The following is a 27859-nucleotide window of genomic DNA, read 5'->3' as shown; positions in this document are numbered from 1 at the left end:
TGCTGCAATAAACATACGTGTGCATGTGTCTTTATAGTAGAATGATTAATATTCCTTTGGGTATATACCCAGTAATGGGATTGCTGGGTCAAATGGTATTTCTGGTTCTAGATCCTTGAGGAATCGCCATGCTGTCTTGCACAATGGTTGAACTAATTTACCCTCCCACCAACAGTGTAAAAGCATTCCTTTGTTCTCCACAGCCTTGCCAGCATCTATTGTTTCCTGACTTTTTAATAATCACCATTCTGACTGGTGTGAGATGGTATCTCATTATGGTTTTGATTTGCATTTCTCTAATGATCAGTGATGCTGAGCTTTTTTTCATAGTTGTTGGCTGCATGAATGTCTTCTTTCAAGAAGACATTCTTGAAATATTCTGTTCATATTCTTTGCCCACTTTTTGATGGGGTTGTTTTTTTTCTTTAAATTTTCTTTGTAAATTTGTTTAAGCTCCTTGTAAATTTTGGATATTAGACCTCTGTCAGATGGGTAGATGGCAAACATTTTCTCCCATTCTGAAGGTTACCTGTTCACTCTGATGATAGTTTCTTTTGCTGTGCAGAAGCTCTTTAGTTTAATTAGATCACATTTGTCAATTTTGGCTTTTGTTGCAATTACTTTTGGTGTTTCCATCATGAAGTCTTTGCCCATGCCTATGTCCTCAATGGTACTGCCTACGTTTTCTTCTAGGGGATTTATGGTTTTGGGTTTTACATTTAAGTCTTTAATCCATCCTGAGTTAATTTTTGTATAAGGTGTAAAGAAGGGGTCCAGTTTCAGTTTTCTGCATATGGCTGGCCAGTTTTCCTAGCACCATTTATTGAATAGGAGATCCTTTCCCCATTGCTTATTTTTGTCAGGTTTGTCGAAGCTCAGATGGTTGTAGATGTGTGGCGTTATTTCTGAGGTCTCCTCTGTACCATAGGTCTATATGTCTGTTTTGGTAACAGTACCATGCTGTTTTTGTTACTGTAGTCTTGTAGTATAATTTGAAGTCAGGTAGCATGATGCCTCCAGGTTGTTCTTTTTGCTTAGGATTGTCTTGGCTATATGGGGTCTTCTTTGATTCCACATGAAATTTAAAGTAGTTTTTTCTAACTCTGTGAAGAATGTCAATGGTAGTTTGATAGGAATAGCATTGAATATATGAATTACTTTGGGCACTATGGCCATTTTCACAATATTGATTCTTACTATCCATGAGGATGAAATGTTTTTCCCTTTGTGTCCTGTCTTATTTCCTTGAGTAGTGTGGTGTATTTTGAAGAGGTCCTTCACATCTCGTTAGCTGTATTCCTAGGTATTTTATTCTCTTTGTAGCAATTTGTGAATAGGAGTTCATGATTTGGCTCGCTGCTTGTCTATTGTTGGTGTAAAGGCATGCTTGTGATTTTTGCACATTGATTTTGTATCCTGAGACTGCTGAAGTTGCGTATAAGCTAAAGGAGTTTTGGGCTGAGATGATGGGGTTTTCTAAATATAAAAACATGTTGTCTGCAAACAGACAATTTGACCTCCTGTCTTCCTATGTGAATACCCTTTACTTCTTTCTCTTGCCTGATAGCTCTGGCCAAAACTTCCAATACTATGTTGAACAGGAGTGGTGAGAGTGGGGATCCTTGCCTTGTACCAGTTTTCAAAGGAAATGCTTCCAACTTTTGCCCATTAAATATTATATTGGCTGTGGGTTTGTCATAAATTGCTCTTATTATTTTGAGATATGTTCTATCAAAACCCAGTTTGAGTTTTTAACATGAAAGGATGTTGAATTTTATCAAGGCCTTTTCTGCATCTATTGAGATAATCATGTGGTTCTGTCTTTGGTTCTGTTCATGTGATGGATTATGTTTATTGATTTGCATATGTTGAACCAGCCTTGCATCCCAGGGATGAAGCTGACTTGATTGTGGTGGATACGTTTTTTGATATGCTACTGAACTCAGTTTGCCAGTATTTTATTGAGGATTTTTGCATCGATGTTCATCAGAGACACTAGCCTGAAGTTTTGTTTTTTTGCGTGTGTTTCTGCCTAGTTTTGGTATCAGGATGATGCTGGCTTCACAAAATGAGTTAGGGAGGAGTCCCTCCTTTTCAACTGTTTGGAATAGTTTCAGAAGGAATGATACCAGCTCCTCTTTGTACCTGTAATAGAATTCAGCTGTGAATCCATCTGGTCCTGGGCTTTTTTTGGTTGGTAGGCCATTAATTACTGCCTCAATTTCAGAACTTTTTATTGGTCTCATCCAAGGATTCAACTTCTTCCTGACTTAGTCTTGGGAGGGTGTATATGTCCAAGTATTTATCCATTTCTTCTAGATTTTCTAGTTTATTTGTGTAGAGGTGTTTATAGTATTCTCTGATGGTAGTTTGTATTTCTATGGTGTCAGTGGTGATATCCCCGTTATCATTTTTTGTTTCTATTTGATTATTCTGTTTTCTTCGTTATTAGTCTAGCTAGTGGTCTATCTATTTTATTAATTTTTTCAAAAAACCAACTTCTGGATTCATTGATTATTTTTGGAGAATTTTTCATGTCTCTATCTACTTCAACTCTGCTCTGATCTTAGTTATTTCTTGTCTTCTGCTAGCTATTGGATTAGTTTGCTCCTGCCTCTCTAGCTCTTTTAATTGTAATGTTAGGGTGTTCATTTGAAATCTTTCTAGCTTTCTGATGTGGGCATTTAGTGCTATAAATTTCCCTCTTAACACTGCTTTAGCTGTGTCCCAGAGATTTTGGTACATTGTCTCTTTGTTCTCCATCCTTTATTTCTTCTTTATTCCTTTATTTCTTCTTCATTTAGAACTTCTTTATTTCTGCCCTAATTTCATTATTTATCCAGGAGTCATTCAGAAGCAGCTTATTCAATTTCCATGTAACTGCACTGTGGTCTGTGGTCTGTTATGATTTCAGTTCTTTTGCATTTGCTGAGGAATGTTTTACTTATGTGGTAGATTTTAGATTAAGTGCCATATGCCACTGAGAAGAATGTATATTCTGTTGATTTGAGGTGGAGAGTTCTGTAGATGTCTATTAGGTCCACTTGATCCAGAGCTGAGTTCAAGTCCTGAATATCCTTGTTAATTTTCTGTCTCATTGATCTAATATTGACAGTGGGGAGTTAAAGTCTCCCACTATTATTGTGTGGGAGTCTAAGTCTCTTTGTAGGTCTCTAAGAACTTGTTTTATGAATCTGGGTACTCCTGTATTGGGTGCATATATGATTTGGATAGTTAGCCCTTCTTGTTGAATTGTTTCCTTTACCATTATGTAATGCCCTTCTTTATCCTTTTTGATCTTTGTTGGTTTAAAGTCCGTTTTGTCAGAGATGAGGATTGAAACCCCTGCTTTCTTTGCTTTCCATTTGCTTGCTAAATATTCCTCCATCCCTTTATTTTGAGCCTATGTGTGTCTCTACATGTGGATGGGTCTCCTGAATATGGCACGCTAATGGGTCTTGACTCTGTATCCAACTTGCCAGTCTGTGTCTTTTAATTGTGGCATTTAGCCCATTTACATTTAAGGTTAGTATTATTATGTGTGAATTTGATCCTGTCATCATGATGCTATCTGGTTATTTTGCACACTAGTTGATGCAGTTTCTTCATAGTGTCATTGGTCTTTATATTTTGTGTGTTTTTGCAGTGGCTAGTAACAGTTTTTCCTTTTCGTATTTAGTGCTTCTTTCAGGAGCTCTTGCAAGGCAGGCCTAGTGATAATGAAATCCCTCAGCATTTTCTTATCTGGAAAGAATTTTATTTCCCCTTCACTTATGAAGCTTAGTTTGGCTAGATACAAAATTCTAGGTTGAGAATTCTTTTCTTTAAGAATGTTGGAGGCTGGGCACAGTGGCTCACGCCTATAATCCCAGCACTTTAGGAGGCGGGCAGATCATGAGGTCAGGAAATCGAGACCATCCTGGCTAACATGGTGAAACCCTGTCTCTACTAAAAATACAAAAAAAAATTAGCCGGGCATGGTGGTGGGTGCCTATAGTCCCAGCTACTAGGGAGGCTGAGGCAGGAGAATGGGGTGAACCTGGGAGGTGGAGCTTGCAGTGAGCCAAGATTGCGCCACTGCACTCCAGCGTGGGTGACAGAGCGAGACTCCATCTCAAAAAAAAAAAAGAAAAAAAAAAAAGTTGAATATTAGCCCCCAATCTCTTCTGGCTTGTAGAGTTTCTGCTGAGAGATCTGCTGTTAATCTGATGGGCTTCCCTTTGTAGGTGACCTGGTCTTTCTCTCTCGCTTTTTTTTCCTTCATTTCAACCTTGGAGAATTTTATGATTATGTGTCTTGAGGTTGATCTTTTCATGGAGTATCTTAGTGGTGTTCTCTGGAGTATCTTAGTGGTGTTCTCTGTATTTCCTGAATTTGCATGTTGGCCTGTCTTGCTCAGTTGGGGAAGTTCTCCTGGATGTATCCTGAAGTGTGTTTTCCACCTTGTTTTTATTCTCCCCGTCTCCTTCAGGTACTCCAATCAATCATAGTTTCAGTCTTTTTATGAAGTCCCATATTTCTTGGAGACTTTGTTCATTCCTTTTCATTGTTTTTTCTCTAATCTTGTCTGCATGCATTATTTAAGCAAGATGGTCTTAAAACTCTGATATCCTTTCTTCTGCTTGATTGATTCAGCTATTGATACTTATCTATGCTTCACGAAGCTCTTGTGCTATATTTTTCAGCTCCATCAGGTCATTTATGTTCCTCTCTAAACTGGTTATTCTAGTTAGCAGCTCCTCTAACCTTTTATCAAGGTTCTTAGCTTCTTTGCATTGGGTTAGAACATGCTCCTTTAGCTCAGTGTAGTTTTTTATTACCCACCTTCTGAAGTCTACTTCTGTGAATTTGTCCACCTCATCCTCCATCTAGTTCTGTTCCTTGAAGAGATGTTGCAATCATTTGGAGGAAAAGAGGCCCTCTGGCCTTTTGGGTTTTCTGCGTTTTTTTGTTGATTTTTTTCTCATCTTCTTGAGTTTGTCTAGTTTCCATCTTTGAAGCTACTGACCCTTGAATGGGGTTTTTGTGGGGACTTTTTGTTGTTGTTGATGCAGATGTTGTGGCTTTCTGTTGTCTTTCTTTCAATGGTCAGGTCCCTCTTCTGTAGGGCTGCTGCGGTTTGCTGGGGATTCACTTCAGGCCGTATTCATCTGGTTCGCTCCTGTGCCTGGAGGTGTCACTCAAAAAGGCTGCAGAACAGCAAAGATGGGTGCCTGATCCTTCTTCTGGGATCTCTGACCTCAAGGGGCACCAATCTGATGCCAGTAGGATTGCTCCTGTATAGAGTGTCTGAAAACCCCTGTTGGAGGGTCTCACCCATTTAGGTGGTACAGGGAACAGGACCCATTTAACGAAGCACTTTGTCCCTTTGTGGATGGGGTGTGCTTTGCTGGGGGAAACCCACTCATCTGGGCTGCCCAGATTCCTCAGAACTGCCAGGAAGAAAACCTAAGTCTGCTGGTCCACAGAGACTACAGCCATCCCTCCCACTAGGGGCACAGGCCCAGGGAGATCCGTGTTCTGTCCCTGAGCCTCTGGCTGGAGTTGTTGGAGTTACTGCAGGGAGCCCCGCCCAGTAAGGAAATATGAGTCAGGGTCAGGCCTGAAGAGGCTTTCTGGCTGCAGTCCGCCACAGCTGGTGTGTTGGCCTGTGGGGGACACCTTTTGGGACCAAGCCATCCAGCCTCACTGGCTCCAGCAGGGGAAAAGCAAAGTGTGGCCTGGAGCTATAGAGATGAATGACGCCCTTCCCCCACCCAGGGAGGTTAGTGTGTTAGGCAGTTATGAGTCCCAGTGCTGGCTGCTGCCCCTCCCCCAAGGAGCTCACATGGCTTACACAGCAGGCAGCCACAGCTGTGGTGCTGGTTGCCCCTCCCCCAGGGGAGCTCCGCAGGCTTAAGCAGATTGCAGCTGAGAGGCTGTTGAGAATCTGCGCAGCTCCAGGGTTGGGACCCTAGACCCCGTGGCGTGGGTAGGTGAGTGGGATCTTCCGATCCGTGGCTGACAGAGTTCTGTGGATAATGCTCAGTTTCCCCGGCTAGGTAGCATGCTCACTCACTGCCTCCCTTGGCTGTGGGTTGGGGGCTCCTCTGCCCCGTGTGGCTCTCAGGTGGGCCACCACACCACACTGTGTTCCCTCCTCTTCGTGGATCATGCCAGCCAGAGTCTAGTTGGTTCTGATGAGAGAACCTGGATATCTTGGTTGCCAGTGAAGGATTCACATGTTTATTATGGTTCTTTTCAATGGGAGTCTCCAATCACCACTGTTTGTAGTTGGCCATCTTGGCCTTGCCCCCCTCATGTATTTCTTTATAGCAACACAAGAACATCCTACCTAATGCATTCATAATAGTCTAGGCATGTTATACTCTTCTCCAATGATCTGCTACTATTCTAGGGTGATCTATAACCTTTGCCTTTGCTTACATAAATCTATTTATATTTTTCTTCATAGCTTTTAAAAAAGGTTTTCTTACCCAAAAAAAAGTAAGCAATTAGGGATTTAGAGAGTGGGCCTTAATTGTTCATGTGATTGACAGAATGATTTCTAATACCTTAGGTCAGGTCAGTGAAGGGGTGGAGATAGGGAGTGAGAGGTACTATCCTACTGAGTACCTATCCCTCCCCTACATGCCAAGAGTCTAATATGCTTGAAGGTGACAAGGGTAAAGAAAAGAACTATAGAATTTGCCTTTTGAAAAAGCTCCACAGGTAATAAGAACACTGACTTCAAACATAAGAAGAGAACATCTTTTGAGGAGGTGTCAGTATGAGATCAGGGAACAACAGAAGGTTCTGAGGTCCAAGTTCAGAGAATCCCACACACTAAATCTCCCTCCATGGGACTAACACTACTCATTAGCATAGCAAACTTTCTTAGAAGTTTATGAGTAAAGAAATCTGTTTTATTTTATTTAGTGGTCTTAAAATCTTATTCATCTACTAAGCTTTCCCTCAACATTGTTCAGGGAAGATAATTTAGAAATCCTGAAATATTTATGAAAGTGGCCCCATTCCATTGTATGTGGGCTCTGTGCCAGATTAAAATATGTGTACTAGCACCTCAGGACAGGGACCATCCAGCAGAAGCTAAATTCTACTCAAGTACAAGGTTGTTTACTTCGTAATGGTGTCAAAGCGATTATTAAATACATTAGTCTACTCAAAAGCCACTATCAGCACTGCTAAAACTATCAGTGCCACTGGGTCCCTTACAGCACATAGGTCACAAAGTTTAATGGCTGCTTCATTTCTACTGTCTCCAGAGAAATGAGGCCACTTGCTATTCTTTAAAATGTCTTTCCTTTCCCATCTCCATACCTTTGCTCTTGCTTCTTGATCTATTAATACCTGGAATGCACTCTCCACTAACAAGTCTCCAAATGTTGAAGCTTTACTAACCCATGGAGACCTACACACCTAAATGCCAGCTCCTCCACAAAGCCTTTCTTGATTGTCCACAACTAACTGGCTTCTCCCTCCTTCAAAACTCCCAATCACATTGTATATCTCTTAAAGCAATAATCATATTATCTTTACATAACCGTAGGTCTTCTAATCTCATGTCCCAATTAAATGGTAAATTCTTTAGGGATAGGAATTGTGTCTTCCCCCTATTTAGATGAAGAAAAAAAAAATGGTTTTTGAGACAGGGTCTCACTCTGTCTCCCAGGCTGGAGTGCAGTGGCTCAATCACAGCTCGTGGCAGTCTCAAACTCCCAGGCTCAAGAAATCCTCCTACCTCAGCCTCCAGAGTAGCTGGGACCACAGGTGCCCACCACCATGCCTGGATAGATTTTTTTTTTAATTTTTAATTTTTTTTTTTTTTTTTTTGTAGAGACAAGGTCTCACTAAGTTGCTCAGGCTGGTCTCAAACTCCTGGTGGATAAAGAAATTTAGGCTTAGAAAAATGGAGCAACTTGTCTAAGATCATATAACTAGTCAGTGGCAGTGCTGGGAATTACACCCAATCTGCCTAGCCCCAAAGCCCAGGCCCCCAAACCCAGTCTCTTTCCCCTAACTTCTTTCTCCCTCGCCCCATGTCCTGTGCCACATCCTATGGAAACAAAAAGGACCTAAGTCATCTCCTACTGGAGGTAGGCAGCATAAAAGTTCTATTTTTCTGCCCTAATTCACTGCCTGGCTTCTGACTCACTGTTCTAACTCTGTCTTCGGTTTGTAGACCTTCATTTCTCAAAGTGTATTCTGGGAAACAATAGTAATGCAGGATGTAGTTGTTTTTAAAGAAAGACTTTACGGGAAAATGTAGCCTAAACTGGTTGCTTACTGCAGGACTTTTCAGATCATTTAATTTGCTACTATGCAGCATTATACATAGCTTTTGTACACATATTTCATTTTTAAGACACAGGATATCACATATATTTTGTTAAGTATCATGGAATGCAACTACATTTCATAAATTTCATCTAATTCCATATAGCACTGTCAGGTAAAAAAAAGTTTTATTTTAACAGCATCATTAACAGCAATATAATACATGCATAACAACAAATTTATTCCCAAACTATTTAATAACATGTATTTAAGTAAAAAACTGACAACAAAATGCTGTAAGACTTAATGTTACTAGGATTTAAAACTAGAGCAATCTACTTTGTGCCAGCAAATGAGTGATTAAGTGCTACCCACATAATGCCTGACATTTAATGAGGGAGTTACGTGCATGTAGAATATATTTCACTCAATGATTAATACAGGTTTACTATATTTAGTGTCTACTTGAACATTTTGCCTTTTCTCCCCATCCCTGAACCCAGCTGAGGACATGGGATAAATTTGAAGACTAAAACCCAAAAAGTTTTGATGAATGAAACAGATAAGAACAAGACTGTCTCTTATAGGATAAAGTGAGAATCACTTACCTTTACATCATTTTTAGACTAGTTAAAGTTGTTTAAAATAAAGTAAAATAACATTGGTGACCTCTGAGGAGGACAACTGGGTGACCTGGGAACAACGGTGAGTGGGAAACTTTTCATTTATATACTTTTATATCTGCAGTGGGTACATCTGTGTTCCCAAAAAGAGATCTGTTTAAGTCCTAACCCTCATATCTGTAAATGTGAACTTATTTGGAAATTGAGTCTTTGCAGATGTAATTAAGTGAAGATGAGGTCATATGACAGTGGATTAGAGTGGGCCTGATTTTAGGAACCCTAGGAAACTAATCCAATATCTTTTTGATTTTACATAACATGATTGTAGAACCTACTCAAAAACTAATCAAACTAAAATAAAGTAAAAGTTCTGCTTTTTATTACAGTTTAATAACTATCTTGATCCTATAACTAAAATATGCATACTTGTTCTCAAAGCTTTACATGTTCCTTCATTTATTCCTTCATTAATTCAAACTTCAACTAAGTGCTTACCCTGCGCCAGATGAGATGGCCTGGGAAAGGTTCTAGATAATCCAGAAATCAGATATTTCCTGTCCTCTAGGATGATGTCTGCTCTAATAAATAATTGCAGAAGAAATAGATTACATCAACCAGTAGTGAAAGCGTTATTCATGAATCTTGGGAAATTAATATTAAGATCAAATTTTAAGTGATATTCAACAACGTATATGAGGCAGGTCTTCCTCCTTCACTTTATTCAAAGATCAATGATATGGAATACATACTTTTTTTTTTTTTTTGAGACAGAGTCTCACTCTGCCCCCTAGGCTGGAGTGCAGTGGTGCAATCTCAGCTCACTGCAAGCTCCGCTTCCCGAGTTCACACCATTCTCCTGCCTCAGCCTCCCTAGTAGCTGGGATTACAGACGCCTGTTACCACGCCCGGCTAATTTTTTGTATTTTTAGTAGAGACGGGGTTTCACTGTGTTAGCCAGGATGGTCTCAATCTCCTGACCTTGTGATCTGCCCGCCTGGGCCTCCCAAAGTGCTGGGATTACAGGCGTGAGCCACCGCGCCCGGCCGGAATACATACCTCTTACTTGACCACTCTGAGGAGCATCTTGGGAGATAAGACACACATTACTAGAAAGTGAGGTCAATGTCATAAAAACCCTATCGAGAATTCTGAATAGAAGAAATAAATATTTTTAAAACACCAGGGAGAATAGTCAAAAGCAGACGGAAATTCTGAAATCATTAAAAGTCTAGTGCTAAAATAACGAAAACTGGAGTCATGCTGGAGGATTCCACCATCTTAAGAAAGATGGGGGAGGTGTATTGAAAATTATTTTTTAAATATATTGGCCAAGAGCAGTATTATATACCAATCAGGCTTGACATACTTTCTCACACTGTCCTCTCTCCTAGCCCTGTTCCCAAGCTGAATTAGAAAAAACTGATAATTCAAGTTTCCAGAAACTGACAATACAGTAATTCAGTCATCTCTCCATCATGAAAAAAATGAAACAAAACATTTAAAAGAAATGTCCCTCCCTTAGAACCAAGTCCTGAATCTTGGAAGTAACAATAGAACAATAATAACTGACATGATGTAACATGTATCTTCACATTGAGATTATTTCCCAAGCCCCGTAGTTAAAATCTTTGCAGCATAATAGTACAGTACTCCTTAGTGCCTAAATATAGGTATGCAATGATATTCTTTAAGTTAGAAGAATATTACCTTAGAGAGTTTTATTTTTAAATGCTGCTGAAAAAGTGGGAAAAGTCACAAGCTGTTCTCTGTATCAAGAATCACACATACAACCATTTAAAACATTACCATAAAATCAAAGATCTACTGTCCTATGAAATAAACAGAGTTTCATTATATCACAAAAACTCCACTAAGTTTCATTATATCCTACTATATATCCTAATACCATTTGAAAGAGGGTTGAATGTGTATCACTGTGAGAGACTGGGAAAAAGAATAACTGGTGGCAAAATCTGGGTGGAGAGGGGTGGAAATAGGAGATTCTAACTTGTCCCTGCTCAAGATGCTGAAAGTCAATTTGATTGGGTCAGTGTTAAACTTTCGGCAGGTGAGAAGCTGGTTTCAGCAAAGGACAGATACTTTAGGAAAAGTTTTTATTCTGCCTGTATTGGTATTTGATAGAAACAGAAATTTAAGTAAGGATTCCTTGACTTTTTTTTTTTTTAACCACAGAATGCTATTTTACCAGTAATATGATTTGGTAGGAACACATATTTGGGAGTATGATAGTTTGGACTGCTACTAATTTAACAGCTATGAAACCTCCCACTTCACTGCAGTAAAACATTATGACAAAGCCTCACCTGCAGCATGGGAAAATGTTATTGCATTTCTTCTCTAGAAATATATATATACTCAATCAGCAAATGCTCTTCTCAAAAGCACCAAATAACTCCTTCCCAAAAGGCTTGTTTTTTGAACTCTTCACCCTGTATCATTTCTCAATTTTTCTCCTCTCCATTTCCCTAATTTTAACTTAATTGGTTGTGAATCTGAAAACTCATGTTTCCTATTTGCTTTTGGCTACAGAAAAAATTCTTAATGTCTATTAGGGAATGTAGGGGTGAATGCTGTAAGGTAATGGTTAAAAGATAAAAAAAAATGGTCAAAGCAAAACAAGAATATTGTTCCTCTCCTCCTACTGCTGCCAAGAAGATGGTATAATTTCCTCTCTCTGTAGAGAATTACCTAATTATAGAAAAGGGCATGCTCTCTGCTTATGACATCAGAAGTGCTACCAGGTAGCACTTTTTACAGAAGTGGACATTTTAAAGAGTGCTACCAGCTGTTGTCATAAAATGAGGGCCAGAAAAGAGAAACATGGGTAACTGCAGCAGGTGAATGATGAAAGGAAGCATCATCTCAACACACGGCAATCATACTGCAGACCTCTCTAGTCTCTGGTCTCCTACAGGAGCAGTTCTCAATTTGTATCACTGTGAGAGACTGGAGAAAAGGACAGATCAGCAGCATAAGCACCAGCTGAAAACTTATTAGAAATCCAAATTATCAAGCTGCACACACCCTAGACTTACAAAATCAGAAACTCTAGGTGTGGGACATAGAAATCTGTGTTTTAACAGGCATGCCCTGGGATTCTGATTTGATTGACCAATGTCCTAAAGGAATTTGTTATCTGCCAATTTATTCTGGCTTTTAACCATATGTCACCCAAATTATTACTAAAAATTTTCATGTGTATATATTCTCACTAATTCACAGGATCCTTTGGGACAAAAATTCTTTCTCTTCCCTTGTCCTCTTTGCTGTCCATCACCCACCAGTACCTCATGCAGCGCTAAAAAGAAAACATAATGAGCATTTATAATGATAGCAACTGGGGAGGGGGACCTTGGAGAAAGTCTTTTTTTAATGACACTTCCCTCCACTTGAGGTATCTATTCCCTTAATTATAATCTAGGGTAAAAAGACCTTAATCCTATTTACAGAGGACTCTTCATTCCTGGGATGGAACTGCTCAACTTCAGAATTTGAGTAATCCAATTGAAAACAAATTAAAAGTTCTATAAAATATTTCCCCCAAATGCTTGGTGACTTTGAACAGAGAGTGGAAAAAAAAAGGTAGCATTTCTTTCTCAGAAGCACCCAGTAGGGGCCATATACATGGGAAAGTTTCTTAGTTACCCCTGTGGCAGGATATAACCTTCAAACTTTTAATATGAAAATGTTCTGTTTGCCTTCTCTTTCTTTGCTACATTCAAAGCATAAAAGGCAAATGTTTCTCCTTGCACACAAGGTGTCCTCACTATCCTCAAGCAAAGTAGAACTAGTTGCTCAGTTGCTAATAATTCAGGTTCTGAGTTTAATAAATGTTTGGAGCTTAGTCATGGTTCCTAGGGAGGACCTAACAACAGGGACATTCTTCAATCAGGCATAAATAAATGAAATGTGTTCAGATGTGTTCTGTTAGCACCCAGCAGAAATCCTATTAAACTGAATGTGCAAAGATATTCTACATCATGATGGAAAGGATCACTGGTGCCTTCCATAATCTATACCTGATATTTTTAAAAAGGGGCTACACATTTAACAGTACCTGCTTCTCCCACTTCTCCAATTAATATATCTGTAGGTTCTTCAAGCCAATCTGAAAGGGGCCCTGTTATGGACTGAATGTTTGTGTCGCCCCAAAATTCATATGATGAAACCCTAACTCTCAGTGTGATGGTATCTGGAGATGGGGCCTTTGAGAAGTAAGTAGGTTTAGATGAGGTCACAAGGGTGGGGCCCTCATGACAAGGTTAGTGCCCTTATAAGAAGACACCACCAGAGAGCTGGCTCTCATGTGATTTCTCTCTCCACCATGTGAGGACACAGCCATAAAACAACCATCCGCAAGCTAGGAAAAGGGCCCTTAGCAGGAACTAAATAAGCCAGCACTTTGATTTTAGACTTCCCAGTCTCCAGAACCATGAGAAATAAATGTCTGTTGTGTAAGCCACCCAGTCTATGATTTTTTGTTCTAGCATCCCAAGTGGACTGATATACCAACCCTGAACTACTATTCCATGCCTTCTCAGTAGAGCTCTGAACCCAAATCCTTATTAAAGCTAAGACAGCCTTTTGTTTGCATATGCCAGTGCATGTGTGAGCTGAATTATCTGTATGCACTCCAACTGGGCCAATGTGTGATGGCCTGCAGGGTGGAGATGGTGATTATAGGAGTTAAAAAGAAATTATTTAGGCAGATAGTGAGGTTAAGGAAGTCCTCGATAAGGTTTCCCTTTTAATGAAAAGCAACCCCCAAATCATTTCTTCTCTAACAAAGAGCAGCCTGTAAAATCGAGCTGCTGACATAGGAAAGCTTACACAGGTGAATGCCTGCAGCTGTGCCAATAGGAAAAGACTACCTTAGGCATGTTCAACATGGTGGCTCCATCTTCCCTCTTCCTTGCCAACCACATGTACAGTAAGGAGCAGACAACAGAGCACTGGCCAAGTAGAAAACCCATTTGCTTAATAAGAAGATTAGGGTGGGGTGGCCAGCTCCTTCGTGTGTTATGTAAATATCACACCTGTCCAACCAATCTTTGGACCCTACGTACATCAGACATCACCTCCTCAGGTCAGTCTGTAAAATCCAGTGTACTTCACTTTGGACCGGAAGTCCCACTTGGGAGCCTCTCTCTCGTAGGAGAGAGAGCTGTTCTCCTTTCTCTTTCTTTTGCCTATTAAACCTATGCTCCTAAACCCACTTCTCATGTGTCCGCATACTCTATTTCCTTGGCATGAGACAACAAACCTCAGGTATTTACACCAGACAATGATGCTGCTTCGATGGCACCTGGTACCTACCCTCAAAAACAAAATTATTTCTATGAGCTGGGCATAACTGGAAAGCAACAGAAAGCTGTCAGATCTGAAGAGGATGTGTACACTGAGGCAAGAAGCATCTCAGCTGAAATAAATTGCACACATCTTGCCATGAAATTGGAGATGTGAAAAACTTAGCTTGCCACGAACTTGGAGATGAGAACTCCAAAAATGGCAAAAGCCAAATTTTTCTCCAGCCTGGTTCTCTGCAGGAAATCAAGCTATTCAAAAAGATTTTTGATTATTATTATTTCTTACAGAACTGAGTTTGAAGATATATTTATACCCATGACACACAAGGCTAATGATAAATAGACCTTTGAAGAGTATTCAAATTAAATCTAGGTCTCTGCAATGAAACACCAAAGCAAATATTAGACTTTTTAAAAAATGCAAAGCCTTGTCCTTGGCTGGATTCCTGCAAACCTAGACTCTCCAGAACGTGGCAATGTCCCTTTCTCTGTGGCTAATTAGTAAAACTAACCTTTTCCTTGTTGTTGGGGATTCTTAGCCTATGATTGGTTGCCTAGGTGCAGAAGTCATTCCCAAAGGATATAAAAATAGCAAATGCTTTTTGTCACATGCTAGGCTCAGGCTGCTGTGTGCAAGACTCTAAAACAACATGAAGCCTTTTTTCATTCCCTTCTGTGTCATTAGGGAAAATGACCACCCCCACGTGGCCACCCACAATATGGTGCTCCAGCCATTGTAGCATTGTAGTTGTGCCCACACAGAGACTCTGTATTAAAAGGACTTCTAGTAACTCAATGCAGAGTATATGGGAGTGCTGAGTTTCCAGAGGCCCATTGTTTTCTAGTAAATCAATTCCTCTAAAGTAGAATTCAGTAGTGCCACTCACATAGTAATAGCACAGTGTCTGCAGTAACAGGAGCACTTTCAGAGAGATTTGGGCTTTGCTGAGGAGCACAGAGATGAATTTCTTCTAACATCTTGTTTGCCAATTTTCTACTATAAATTATCTATGCTGATGAAGCAAGGCATGATATACATATAAAACACTGAAGTAATCAGGATCTCATTCAACATCAGTACAGTTTTCTTTGTTCTTCTTCAACTCTACAGCAGCACAGTTTGCCATCATTCCACACTAACAAGTGTGGCAGGGAGAGTGCACAACCACAAACATACACACAAAGCCAGAATGGTCTTCAAGTTTTTCCCTCAGAAGTTCTCAAACCCTTGATTTACTGTCATAAGTTACTCAAATCTGAAGCATTAGAGGTAGGAATCTTCTACTTTAAACACTCAACAGTTGGTGTCATCATGAAGGATAGGTTATTTTGAATCGTTTATGTACAACCTGTACACTTCCTACAAAAAGCAGATTTAAGGAATTGATGAAAGAAGGTTCCACCAAGGTCATCAAGATTCGCATAAAGCTTATGTTTGCATATTCTTCCTAATAGATTTGGTGGAGTCCCTTAAAACTCTTCAAGACTAGGACTTACAGCAAATAAGAGAAGGCAGGCTTGATTCTGAAAGAAAAATGTGTGAAAAGGGCGAGAATTTGTGTATTACATTGAATGTCAAGAGTCTTAAGGATAATCCAGGACAAGTCAGAGGAAGGTAGGAGATAAAATGCTGAAGTATCACTCATAGCCATTCTGCATGACGGTTATGAACACACTGACCTTAGGGTCACATATAGCCCTGGATACAAATCCCAGCTACCAGCTATGTGACCTGGGAAAGTTTTACTTAACCTAAATGTGTTTCTTCACCTATAAAAAAGGAAGAGTAATAAAAATCTACCTCATACAATTGTTATAATGATTAAATGAGAAGACCTGCAGGCACTTAGCATAGTGCCTTGCACATAGTAAATCCTCAATAACTTCTAGCTATTTTATTTAATTTCTAAAGCTCTCTCCAAATCCCCTTATTAGGTGGAATATCAAATCCAAAAGAAAAGTAGAATTTTCATCCTGCTTCCCAAAAGATGTGTTAGGATCCTAATAGAAGGAATGAACTTACATTTAGAGACTTATTTGCACAGGGGACTACCAAGCAACATCTTAGAATTAATGGATTTAGCTGTCACACAACTATAAATATTCAGAAAACTAGTATTTTAAACATCTTGATATGGAAGATAGCCTTGTTTCTAACAGCAATAAAGCTCTGTAATGTTATTCCAGCCAAGTAATTTTACAATAGCCCAAATGACACTCTCTTAAACTGTAAGATGCAAAAATGTGAAACTAAATAAATAAGTACATTCCATATCAATAATCCTGCCTTGTAAGAGTCTGAAGGCATAATTCTATGCTAGAGATTAGAATTTAGGTGTTACAGTTTGAATATTTATAATAGCCATCATTCTGGAAATATATATATGCCATATAATATATGCAAAATGAATGCAAAGGGGCTTAAAATAATAACAATGTTCATTTTGTTCATGAATCTGCAGTTTGGAGAAGGGCTCAGAGTTTATTTCTGCTCTACCCTATGTCACCTGGGCCAGCTGGAAGGCTGGGGCTGAGAAGTCATGGGACAGCTTGCTTGATCACATGTCTGTCCTATTGCCTACACTGGGAAAACTCAAACAGCTGAGGGCTAGAACAGCTGGGGTTCCTCTGGCATACCCCTCTAATTCTATATAGTCTTTCCATGTGCTCTCTCTAATATGGCATATTCAGGGTACCTGGACTCAGTTTCCAAGGCACATGTCACAGGAAAGAAAGAGGACCAGGAGGAGGTTGTATCACCTTTTAGGGCCTTGCCTTGGAACCCACACATCATTATTAATTCTACACATTCTATTCATCCACATAGGTTTAAGCAGGGGGAACACAGCCCTCTACCTCTCAATGGAGGAATGTGAAATCACACTGTTAGAAGAGCATATAGGATAGGATATATATTGGTGGTACAATTTTTGGAAAGTATAACCTGCCACAGTTAGCTTAGTTTTCACGCAGTGTATCAGTCAGAGTTCTTGGTTACAAGCAATAGAAATCCATTTTGGCAGACTTAAAGGGAAAAAGTATATTTGAAGGATACAGAAATATCTTGAAGGAAAAGCTAGAAGCCTGACCTGGAAGTGAGCTAGAATCAAGGGAGGCTGAAGGGAGGCTAGGACACAGGGACTCAGCCACAAAAGAGTCTGGTTAACACACCTTTCTCATCACCACTGCTGCAACTAGACAATGATGTCGCTGGACTCTCAACACCACCACTGCTAAAAAGAATAAACTGTCTCTGCATCTTTGAGTTATGCACTCAAGATTCAAAGTTCTGGGTGAGTAATAGTGATTGGCTGAACCTAATTCACATGGCTGCAGCCTAGCTTCTAAAGACAAGAAAATCTGACCCCTTCTGGAAAAGGAACCCCGCCTCCCACAAAACCCCACATAACAAAGAATTCATGCCAGATAAAAACAGAGGTTCAGACTCTGGGTAGCCAAAAACCTAGGAAATGTCTGATATAGACAGAAAATTAATAGCCCTCTACAATTTTGATATAAAAGACCATACCATTTTCTGTCAGCAAAGGATAAGACTAGAGCCTGGTTAATAATCAGGTTTTAATTTGGAATAAAGGCCAAATCCTCAATCCATGATGCAAGTCCATTTTCTCATAGTGACGTGTATTAAATTAATTAGGATCACAATTCTACTAGAACTCTGGGAGGCTGAGGGGGGTGAATTGCTTGAGGTCAGGAGTTCAAGACCAGCCTAGCCAACATGGTGAAACCCTCTCTCTACAAAAATACAAAAATTAGCCAGGCTTGGTGGCATGTGCCTGTAGTCCCAGCTTCTCAGGAGGCTGAGGCAGGAGAATTGCTTGAACCCGGGGGACAGAGGTTGGAGTGAGCCAAGACTGCACCACTGCACTCTAACCTGGGCGATAGAGTGAGAATCTGCCTCAAATAATAATAATAATAATAATAATTCTACTAGAGCAAGGTCCAATTCTAACACTATGGACATGCCACAATAGAAATGTGTTTGTTCTCTTCACAGAGAATGGGTTTGTATATACCCAGGGCAAGGACAGGTAATATTCCATAGTCTACCTATAAGTCAGCCGTTTTGAATTCAGAACAAAATTTTCCCAGCAATGATTAAATTTCCAGGTTAGCACATAAGCATCTAATTAGCCCAGAAATTTATGCAGCTGATTCTAGCCATTAATATTGTTTACAGAATATAAGCAGTACTGTGTTTATATCATGGCTTTTATAAGGGAGAGATGCCCATATGCTTGTTAGAACCTAGAATACCTTGGTGACAGAAAGACTCTCTTTGCCTTAGCTTTACTGAGAATAGGAAGTTAGCTACCCTGTAACAGTGGGAAGAAAAGAGTCCATGCCAAGGTAACTGTTCATATGCAAGGAAATTTTGCACAGTGACTTTTTTAAAAATCATCTTTAACATTACCTACATACTAGGATAAAGACTCAATCTAAATACTTCACAAACTTCTGAATACAAAGTTACTTGACAAACTTTGATTTTCCTCACATCATAAACAGTATAACTAATATCTTTTTTTCTTTTTTTTCCCAGACAGAGTCCCGCTGTGCCGCCCAGGCTGGAGTGTAGTGGCGCAATCTCGGCTCACTGCAAGCTCTGCCTCCGGGGTTCAAGCGATTCTCCTGTCCCAGATTCCCAAGTGGCTGGGACTAGAGGCGCCTGCCACCACGCCCAGCTAATCTTTTTATATTTTTAGTAGAGACAGGGTTTCACTATGTTGGCCAGGCTGGTCTTGAACTCCTGACCTCATGATCCACCCGCCTCAGCCTCCCAAAGTGCTGGGATTACAGACGTAAGCCACCGCGCCCAGCCCTAATATCTTTATATAAATTTTGAATGTCTAAAACTAGTAGTGTATTTAGTGTTTTTCTTGTATCATTTAACAATAAATTAAAATGCAATCAAAATTTAATTCTGGTTTGTTCCCTGTTATATAAGTGAGCACAAAATAATGGAGAAAATTTAAACTTCCTGAGAGCAGGGGACCTGACATGTTTGTCTTGTTGACTGCTATATCCCCAGTTCCTAGTATGGGGCATATGGGAGGTGCTTGAGAGCATCAGTTGTTGTTATTGTCAAAGTTTTAAAGGGATGAAAGAGGGAGAAAAAAGTAGCAAAAAGAAGAAAGAAAATAGTAATGGATTATTTTAGAAAAGATATTTGGGTCAATGATACCTAAGAATTGTTCATTCATTTCTTCTGGCTAGCTGGATGCTATAAATAACCCCCTAAACCCTTCTCCTCCAAAATTTAGATAATTCTTCTCTTTGCCCCCAAAAACTGACAGAAAATGGCCAACATGTACTTCTTAAACCGGTGAGTGATTGCCAGCTGTTAGCTACAGTGCACACTAAAAGCCCATATCACCTTTCAACACTGCAGGAGTGTCTTGCTTTGGGCAAAGACTTATTTCTCAGGAAAAGATTGTTCTGGGTAAAATGAGAGAAGATCTGTGTTGCACATAACACAGCTTTAGTGTTCAATGACTGCTGGATAAGATAAATAATTAAAAAAAAGATGCTTTAATTAAAATACAAAAGTGGTCATTTTCTGCTCAATAAAAATGTTATAATTATGCTACTTGAATTACAATGTGAACCATAATAAAAAAGGAATACTTTAGTAAGGAAAAAATTATAAATGACACCTACATGTAAAATACTCTTAAATATTATACAAAATAAGAAAAAAAAAAGGAAGGAGACAACAGAGGAAAAAACAGAGGGAAACAAGTCCATAATACGTACAGAGCCTGCTGAAATGAAGTGGATCACTCAATCTTAGAACTGGAAATAACCATAAAACATACTAACCATTCCATATCAGTTTAAAAGCTATCCAAGGAAGATTCAAGATTTCATAGCCTAATCAGACGAAGATGGTAGAATTATTGGCATATTTACTCTTGTTTAGATGGCTGAGGTTCTTGGTTTAACAAACATGTATTTTTAAAGTATTCCTTCTCTAATCTTAATCTCTTCATGCTTCTGTCTCAAAATAATTTCCTTTTATTTTGCCCTTAGCAGAGATGAAGAACAGCTAATCCCCTAAGTCTGGAATAGAACACTTCATGTGCATGAAGACCTTTTTGATAATGTATCACCTTTCTACTCTTGCTCCTCTGAAATACATCAGATCTGTCCCTTTAACCTCTTTTTGTTTAGATTTTTAGATCCCACTGTTACATACTTCTTGATTCTTCCAAACTACCTTCTCTTCTCACTCAAGCTCAAATCCTGTTCCAAAAAGGATTTGAACAGTGCCAATTATAAGAAAATAGTTTGGAGTACAACAGCAACAGTTTTAAAGTCTGAAGCCTTGACATTTATATATATTTTAAAGCTGAGGTGAAAAGGGAATAAAAATTTCTAAAGCATCCCAGAATAGATCCTTGGATTTCAAGCCAATTACTTTGAAGTTATCTATTTAAACTTCCAGCTTTGGATTCAATCAAAGGGTCATGCTGTTTAATTTCTGAGAAATTACAGAGATGTGCTCAATAGACAAGTGGGCAGGTCCCATTTGTCTACCAAGATTTAAAAATAACTACTCTTTCCCACACAGCCGTCTTCTCTTTTATTATTATTATTGCATGATTTGCCAAGAGCTAAAACCACTCTACAACATTTATTTCAATGAAATATTACAGAGGACAATTGAAATCATTTTCTATTAATTATTCTGTTTTCATAAATTGTGTGTAAAGACCTGTCTTATGTGAAAGGATCGCAGTAGGTCTCATTATCAGCTTCAGGAAAATTAATTACAACTTTAAGGACTTTGATTCCCTGGCTTTAAAGCCACCAGTACCTGCCAAAACACAGAAATGACCGAGAAGTGTCACATTCATGAATTGCCGGGAACTGTCATTCATGAATTACCAAGGAGACACAGCAATGTTGCTTTAAGTGTCCACTACAGTCCCCACCTCTCTGTCTCAGATTACTGTGATGTCATCAACTAAGGATTTGCTAGCGATTATTATGCCCTGCACCAGAGCAAGGGGCTCCTAATTATTATAGTGGCTTGATTTGTTTCAATGTATAAAGTATTTAAAATTATTTTTGAACCATTCGGCTAGTTCTGATGTCTTCATTAGCAAATAAACAATCTTCTATCATATTCTAATACTCTTGGGGCATTTTGGAGGACAACTGCTTCGTGATCTTCAACCAACATTAACTCTTTTCCGGAGAGTGGGTGGGACAACTTTGTCATAGTGGTGAAGATGTAGTTATAGCACTCTGTCCTATGAGCCTTTACCTGGCATTCTAGCCTTCTACCTTGATGTCTGCTTTACAGGGTTTGGTAACTCCTCCTCCCCTACCCCCACACCCACACACACTTCTCCCATGGTCAGGATCTGGAAGGGAAAGTGGCAGGTGCTGGCAAGAAATACTAACCTTGTCCTCAGGGCAAATTTTGAATTGTTGCTACCACAGAGATATCTATCAGGAGGGATTGAGTAACAGTGGCAGCTGGACAAGAGCAGCAGTGAGGGCAGCACGTGATTCTAGCAACAACGGACAAGCCAAGACTAAAGCATCCCATAGCAATGCCTGAAGCAAATGCCAGGGCTTCTAAGCTCTATGCAACTACATTCTTCCTAGAGTTTTCTTAGCTGGAGAGAACATTCCCATACCCAGTCATGTTTGCAATAATATCTTTTAAGTACAAAAAATGAGACCAATTTACATACCTACAAATATTTGTACACACACACACACACACACACACATACATTGCACCAAAGGCAGAACCTATAAAAGATTGTTATTCTATTCCATTGAATCTAAGACTTTGTTTTTTCACATTTTAACATCTCTGAAATCAATATATGTCATACAATTTTTGGAAAAAAACAATAGACCTGACAACATAAAAACAAAACTTGAAATTTCTATATGACAAAAAATACCATATATACTGTTAAGAGGAAAACTTTAAAAAATTTACAACCTTATGCCTAACATAAGGTTATAAGGTTACAGCCTTATGCCTAACATAAGGTTTATACCCTTAATAACCAGGAGCTTTTACAAATCACACCAAAGCTGAGCAAACAATAGTGAAAAGGGATAATGATGTGCATAGGAAAGTTACAAAAGAGGAGGCAGGAAATTTTATATCTAAATAGTTTTGTTATTATTATTGTAATGACATTCATATAGTCCTACCTCTACGCTGCTGCTCCTAAAAGTCCAGTTATTAATTTAGGCTGGAGAAAAGGGGAAAAGGAAAGAATCTTCTCTGTTCCAGGCATTGTACTTCTAGATTTCACAAACGTGAATTCACTGAAGCCTCATAACAATCCCATGAATTTAATATCATCGTGCAGATGAGGAAAGCAAGGATTAGAGAAGCTGAGTAATTAAACAAATTCTCAGAGCAGGTATAGTAAAGCCCGCATTCCTGGTTCAGAGTCCTTATACACCTGATCAAAGCACAATTCCAGAAACACTATTCAGATACAAGAGGCTTCCCTGAAAATGAGGAGCCAGACCTTGAAGTTTTAAACCCAAAACAATAACTATTACCCTTAATGTCAGAGGCATCACGTTCCATGAATCAACAATATTTGTATCCAGTTGCATAGGAGACTTCTTAAAGTTCTGTTGTGATTTTCTCCTTTGGAAAAGAAGAAATTAACTGTCATATTAAATGTGTTTCAATTCAAAGATTAAGTGTTTTTTTGTTTAAAATACAGATCGCTTTCTACAAGTAAAACCATGACTGAAAAAAAAAAAAGCCTCAGTTCCTAAGTGTCATTAAAATCTGTCCACTTTACTAAAATAAATCATGTGCATCAAAAATAAGTAGATCCCTATTCCTCAGACTAGGTTTTAGGTGGAAACATGACAATGAAACAATAGCCCCCAAACTTTTATTGAAATACATGCAAAGAAGATGGGCCAGTGAAAAGCAGCCCTGCTTTGGTGGCCCAGAGAAAAGGGATGTTAATTAAATAAATGATCTGACAGATGTCAGAGTAGCTGGTGTTAATGTTATGACCATGTTGTACAGGTGAGGCCCTGAAATTTTACCCTAATTCTCTAGTTCCCCCGACACCGAAGTCTTGGCAGGGTGCCTTGAAGACAAGCCACAGTCCAGGAAGTCACCAATGTTGCATCTGCTGTCAGGCACCTACTTCTCCAGGTGGAAAATGCCTGGACCCCCCTTCCCTAAGACCAGAGCTGGGGGAATAGAGGGATAGATACTAGGTGTCACTTGTGTATTTGTACACAGAAAAACAGCTCTCTTACTCTTTTTTCTAAGTATCAGGTATTAGGAGTGCTCAGTTTGACGCATATGGCTGGGTTACAGAGGATTAAAACAGGATGCCTACAATTTTTCAGTCTTAGAAGCCATTCTACAATATCAGTCTAAGGTTTATATAATACTTCTCAACTTCCAACAAAGGCTAATATTTCTTCATCACCTTTTTGCAGACCAGCCTGTTCTTTTAAAAACCAACTTAAGTTTTTTTCAACAAGCAAAATGTAACCCAGTATGAAGTCAAAGTGGTTTAGGTTATTTAGCCTGAGTTCTGATAGTTTTTGAAAATATGTTAAATATATTAAAGTGTCATAGACAGTCTGTCCTGGAATTCAGCTGCCAAAAAAGTTCCAAATTAAAAGGACTAAACCAAAATGACTCTTTCCAGCACAGCTGTTTAACCTTTACAATGATACCATGCCACCAACTTGCACTGTGTCTGCTGCATTTCACCAGCCATTCATTAAAAAATTATCGCTATTTTCTAACCATAATAGCAAAAAAATAAAAAATCATATTTTCAAGTACTTCATTAACAAAAACTTGAGGTTTACAGTTGTCTGTTTGCAATATTGATTAAAAAATATATAATTCAGAACAAAATTTTCCTCCAGATTTAAGCATATAAGGAAAAAGGAGGGAAAGGAAGGAAGCCAGGAAGGAAATGTGAAGAAAGTGTCAAGTAAAGTTACTTATAACTAATAAAATTTTAGTAACACCATAACAGTATAGAGGAGGGGGTTAGAGAACCCAGATGAACACTTAGATACATGTCCTTAAAATCTGAAAAAAGGATAGTAATACAAACAACTTCACAAGCCTGTTTTCTCTAATGCAAAAAAAAAAAAAAAAAGAACATGGAACTCATTTCAGGCCAAAATAGTAAATGTGAATCTGATTTTAAGATTCCTGTTAAATCAACTAAGGCTACAGGTCATTTTAAGAGTTCATTAAAAATTCAAAAAACAATCAAATAATTTCCAGTAACTCCATATTATTTGCTGATCATCTTACCTCTCAGTTCTTTTAAAAGTTGTAAGATAAATTGATTCTAAGAATATATACAGGCTCCCAGCACTTTGGGAGGCCAAAGTAGGTATACCACTTGAGCCAAGGAGTTCAAAACCAGACTGGGCAAGATAGTGAGACCCTGTCCCTACAAAAAATAAAAATTAGCTGGGTGTGGTGGCACATGCCTATGGTCCCAACTACTCAAGAGGCTGAGGTAGAATTGCTTGAGACCAGGAGGTCAAGGCTGGAGTGAGCTGTGATTGCACCACTGCACTCCAGCCTAGGCGACAGAACAAGATTCTGTCTCAAAAAAATAATAAATACATAAAATGGTAATGAAAGAAATCTACTGAGTCCAAAGATTAGTCCAAGAGATTATGAATTACAAAGAGAGGTAATCAGATGTCATATTCATTGCTCAAAATATTTCATAAATAAAGCATCTAAAATATATGGGGGAATGAGTTAATTGTCTTAGGAGAGATGGTTTACCATTATCACACCTTAGTACAGTCCCATGAAAATCACATTTGACTTTTAAGAGCTCCATTAAAGTGGTTCTAAGCTGAAAATCTCCAAATTCAAAGACATTTGATGCTTATGTGATGATATATATCATTATTTTAGTATTATTATTCTCATCATGAGCACATTATTATCTAAAATAGTAAGAATTAAGTTCCTAAATGTTGAGTATTTCTAAAGGAAATGTGAATAAGTCATAAAATGTACAAGGGACATGGATCTTTGCAACAAAGCAGAATGAAATTGTAAAGTTTTGTTATGTTTTCATGGACTATGTATGGCTTTACTACCATGAGCCTGGTAAAATCTAGCAAACAGCTGCAATAACCTTCATAATTTATAAAATGAATAAAGTGAAACCACCCCATTAATATTAAAAGTTGAAAGTGTGTCTGTATGACTATTTTGTATAGTACTAAATACAGCAGATATTTTTTAAGTAGGAGGCTTTCCTCTCCTGAAATTCAGAAGAGCATTAGCCAAGTACCTTTCTGAGCACTGACAGGAGAAAAACTCCCTATGTCTAACAGGGGGAGAAAAACAAACTGCAGCAGCTTCAATGGTCCAGGATAACCTAAGAGGCCTTACTGAGTAAGGTCAGTTGTCAACTTGGTTATTTGATCTTTGACAGATACACAAAACTACATTCTAAGGCAAAAATACAATTGTTCTCCCTGACAACTTCTGATGCTAAGAGATACATATTTAATATTACTTGTTTTTTAATAACCTACTATAAATCTACCCCCACTACTTAATGAGTATTAACTGGATAAATCTATGTCACTCACTGAAATAAAGAATTTCCTGCTTATATCTGAAAATTCTGCTAAAAGACCAATTTGTCTTATAACCTAGTTATTTATTTATGAGACGGAGTCTCACTCTGTCGTCCTGGTTAGAGTGCAGTGGCATGATCTCGGCTCACTGCAACCTCTGCCTCCCAGGTTCAAGCAATTCTCTTGCCTCAGCCTCCCAAGTAGCTGGGACTACAGGCGCACGCCACCACGTCCAGCTAATTTTTGTATTTTTAGTAGAGACAGGGTTTCACCATGTTGGCCAGGATGGTCTCGATCTCTTGACCTCGTGATCTGCCCACCTTGGCCTCCCAAAATTGCTGGGATTACAGGTGTGAGCCACCACGCACGGCCAACTAATTTTTTTTTAAGCAGAACAATTTTGAAATTAACCCAAAGGGGCTAATTACTATAATAGCAAAAGATATTTTTTAAAGTAGTTTATATTCAGCAATCCTATAGAGTAGACCTTAAGGTCAACAATAAAATACAATTCCTGGGACCTTCCATCTACCCTAAAATTACTTTTTCAAAGCTTTAAAATGTTTCTAGGATTTGATGAACATGTTTATATTTGCCTTATTTGCATATTTCATGATTTCATAAATCTGGATCATGTCTTCTCTGAGACTTTATCTTTCTAGAAAGTCAGTCTTCCTGGTTAGTCATTATACTGAAGCCATTTAGCCTCAATTATTGACTTTCCCAGAATGCCTGAGCTCTCTGTTTTCTGATATTTGGCATCAAAACTGGATACATTAGAAACGAATTAACAGTCAGGACAAAAATAATAGAATTTTTAAATTTTGTTTTTTCAAAAACCATTTCTTGTTTTGCTAGTTTTTACTAACCTGTATAAACTTCCTCAGTGGTTTGAATTCATCTGCAGACAACACATGGTAGATTAAAGTGTTGGACTTTTATCTGAAGTTTAGATACCCAATTTTTCTACCCACTTATAGGATATAAACTTCCTAGAAAATCTTGGCTAACACTTCACCCAGAAATGTCTACAACCATCTTCCCTTTATTTACTGTTGAAAATAAAGCACTCTATCTAATACCCAGATGAGGACTGGGCCTTGGGCTCCTTTCTGGAAACAGAAAGAATCTCTTGGGGAAATGGTGCCATGTCAGTAGTGGTAGCTATCCATGACCACAAGACTTATGTCTTATTCATCCATTTATATCTGGCACCTGGTGAATGACAGATGCTCAAAAACATATCTGTGAAAGAACTGATAAAGATTTGAAGCCAACATGACTAAATGGAGACAAATAAATTACTCTGGAACTCCAATTTTCATTTATATATCCTTTCACATGTTCCTTCTAGGATAGAAGCAGATGGTAGTCAAGGAAGACAAGGGTGACTGGGCGTGGTGGCTCACCCCTGTAATCCCAGCATTTGGGGAAGCTGAGGTGGGCAGACTGCTTGGGCCCAGGTGTTTGAGACCAGCCTGGGCAACATGGCAAAATCCTGTCATTACAAAAAACATACAAAAATTAGTCAAGTGCCTATAAGTCCCAGCTACTCAGGAGGCTGAGGTCAGCGGGGGATCACCTGAGCCCAGGAAGTGGAGGCTACAGTGAGCTGTGATCACACCACTGCAATCCAACCTGGGTGACAGAGTGATACCCTGTCTCAAAAAGAAATGAAAGAAAAAATAAAAGAAAAACAGACAGACAAGGGAGAATGAGGTTCTAAGACCTTTTTGGGACAAGATTTTTCAAAAGGACTCAGTGAGACCCCAGCAATTCAATACGGAGTGGTAACAAATCTAATAAAATGTTCTGAGTAATGGAAGTAGATTCTGAGGTGTTTTGTCAAGAGTCTTTCAGGCACTGCTAAAATCAGCTTCTTTACCTACCCAGGGTTACTTCATCTACCTATATCCATCTAGATGTTTTTTTCCATCTCAAATATTCATTTAGACTAGCTAACTTACTCTCAGAATGAAGGTTCATACCTGCATTTTCAGATGCATAAGG

At 38.8% G+C, this 27859-nt stretch overlaps 1 protein-coding gene across 5 annotated transcripts in view, besides 2 other annotated features; it reads right to left on the bottom strand.

Annotated features, from left to right (window-relative positions):
* Nucleotides 1-27859, bottom strand: part of PPM1L (protein phosphatase, Mg2+/Mn2+ dependent 1L) — a 322672-nt gene that overhangs the window by 187188 nt on the left and 107625 nt on the right. The window contains exons 1-2 of one of the 5 annotated variants that reach the window (NR_134243.2): nucleotides 21069-21117; nucleotides 9396-9478 (exon numbers count right to left, since the gene is read on the bottom strand). The exons of the other annotated variants lie outside the window; for them this stretch is intronic. The gene's annotated coding sequence lies outside the window, so the exon portion shown is untranslated. Of the gene's footprint in view, nucleotides 1-9395; nucleotides 9479-21068; nucleotides 21118-27859 lie in introns of those variants that run through there. 5 annotated transcript variants of the gene reach the window in all.
* Nucleotides 4961-5160: an enhancer, noted in NCBI's record as "active region_20765". NCBI's record gives its function as "activates an Ori minimal core promoter by ATAC-STARR-seq in GM12878 lymphoblastoid cells {active_cell/tissue: GM12878}" and the evidence as "EXISTENCE:reporter gene assay evidence [ECO:0000049][PMID:35858748]".
* Nucleotides 5681-5730: an enhancer, noted in NCBI's record as "active region_20764". NCBI's record gives its function as "activates an Ori minimal core promoter by ATAC-STARR-seq in GM12878 lymphoblastoid cells {active_cell/tissue: GM12878}" and the evidence as "EXISTENCE:reporter gene assay evidence [ECO:0000049][PMID:35858748]".

Source organism: Homo sapiens, chromosome 3 (assembly GCF_000001405.40).
Source record: "Homo sapiens chromosome 3, GRCh38.p14 Primary Assembly".
Classification (NCBI taxonomy): domain Eukaryota; kingdom Metazoa; phylum Chordata; class Mammalia; order Primates; family Hominidae; genus Homo; species Homo sapiens.
The sequence above is the reverse complement of the archived record's forward strand: the minus strand, read 5'-3'. Positions and strand labels throughout refer to the sequence as shown.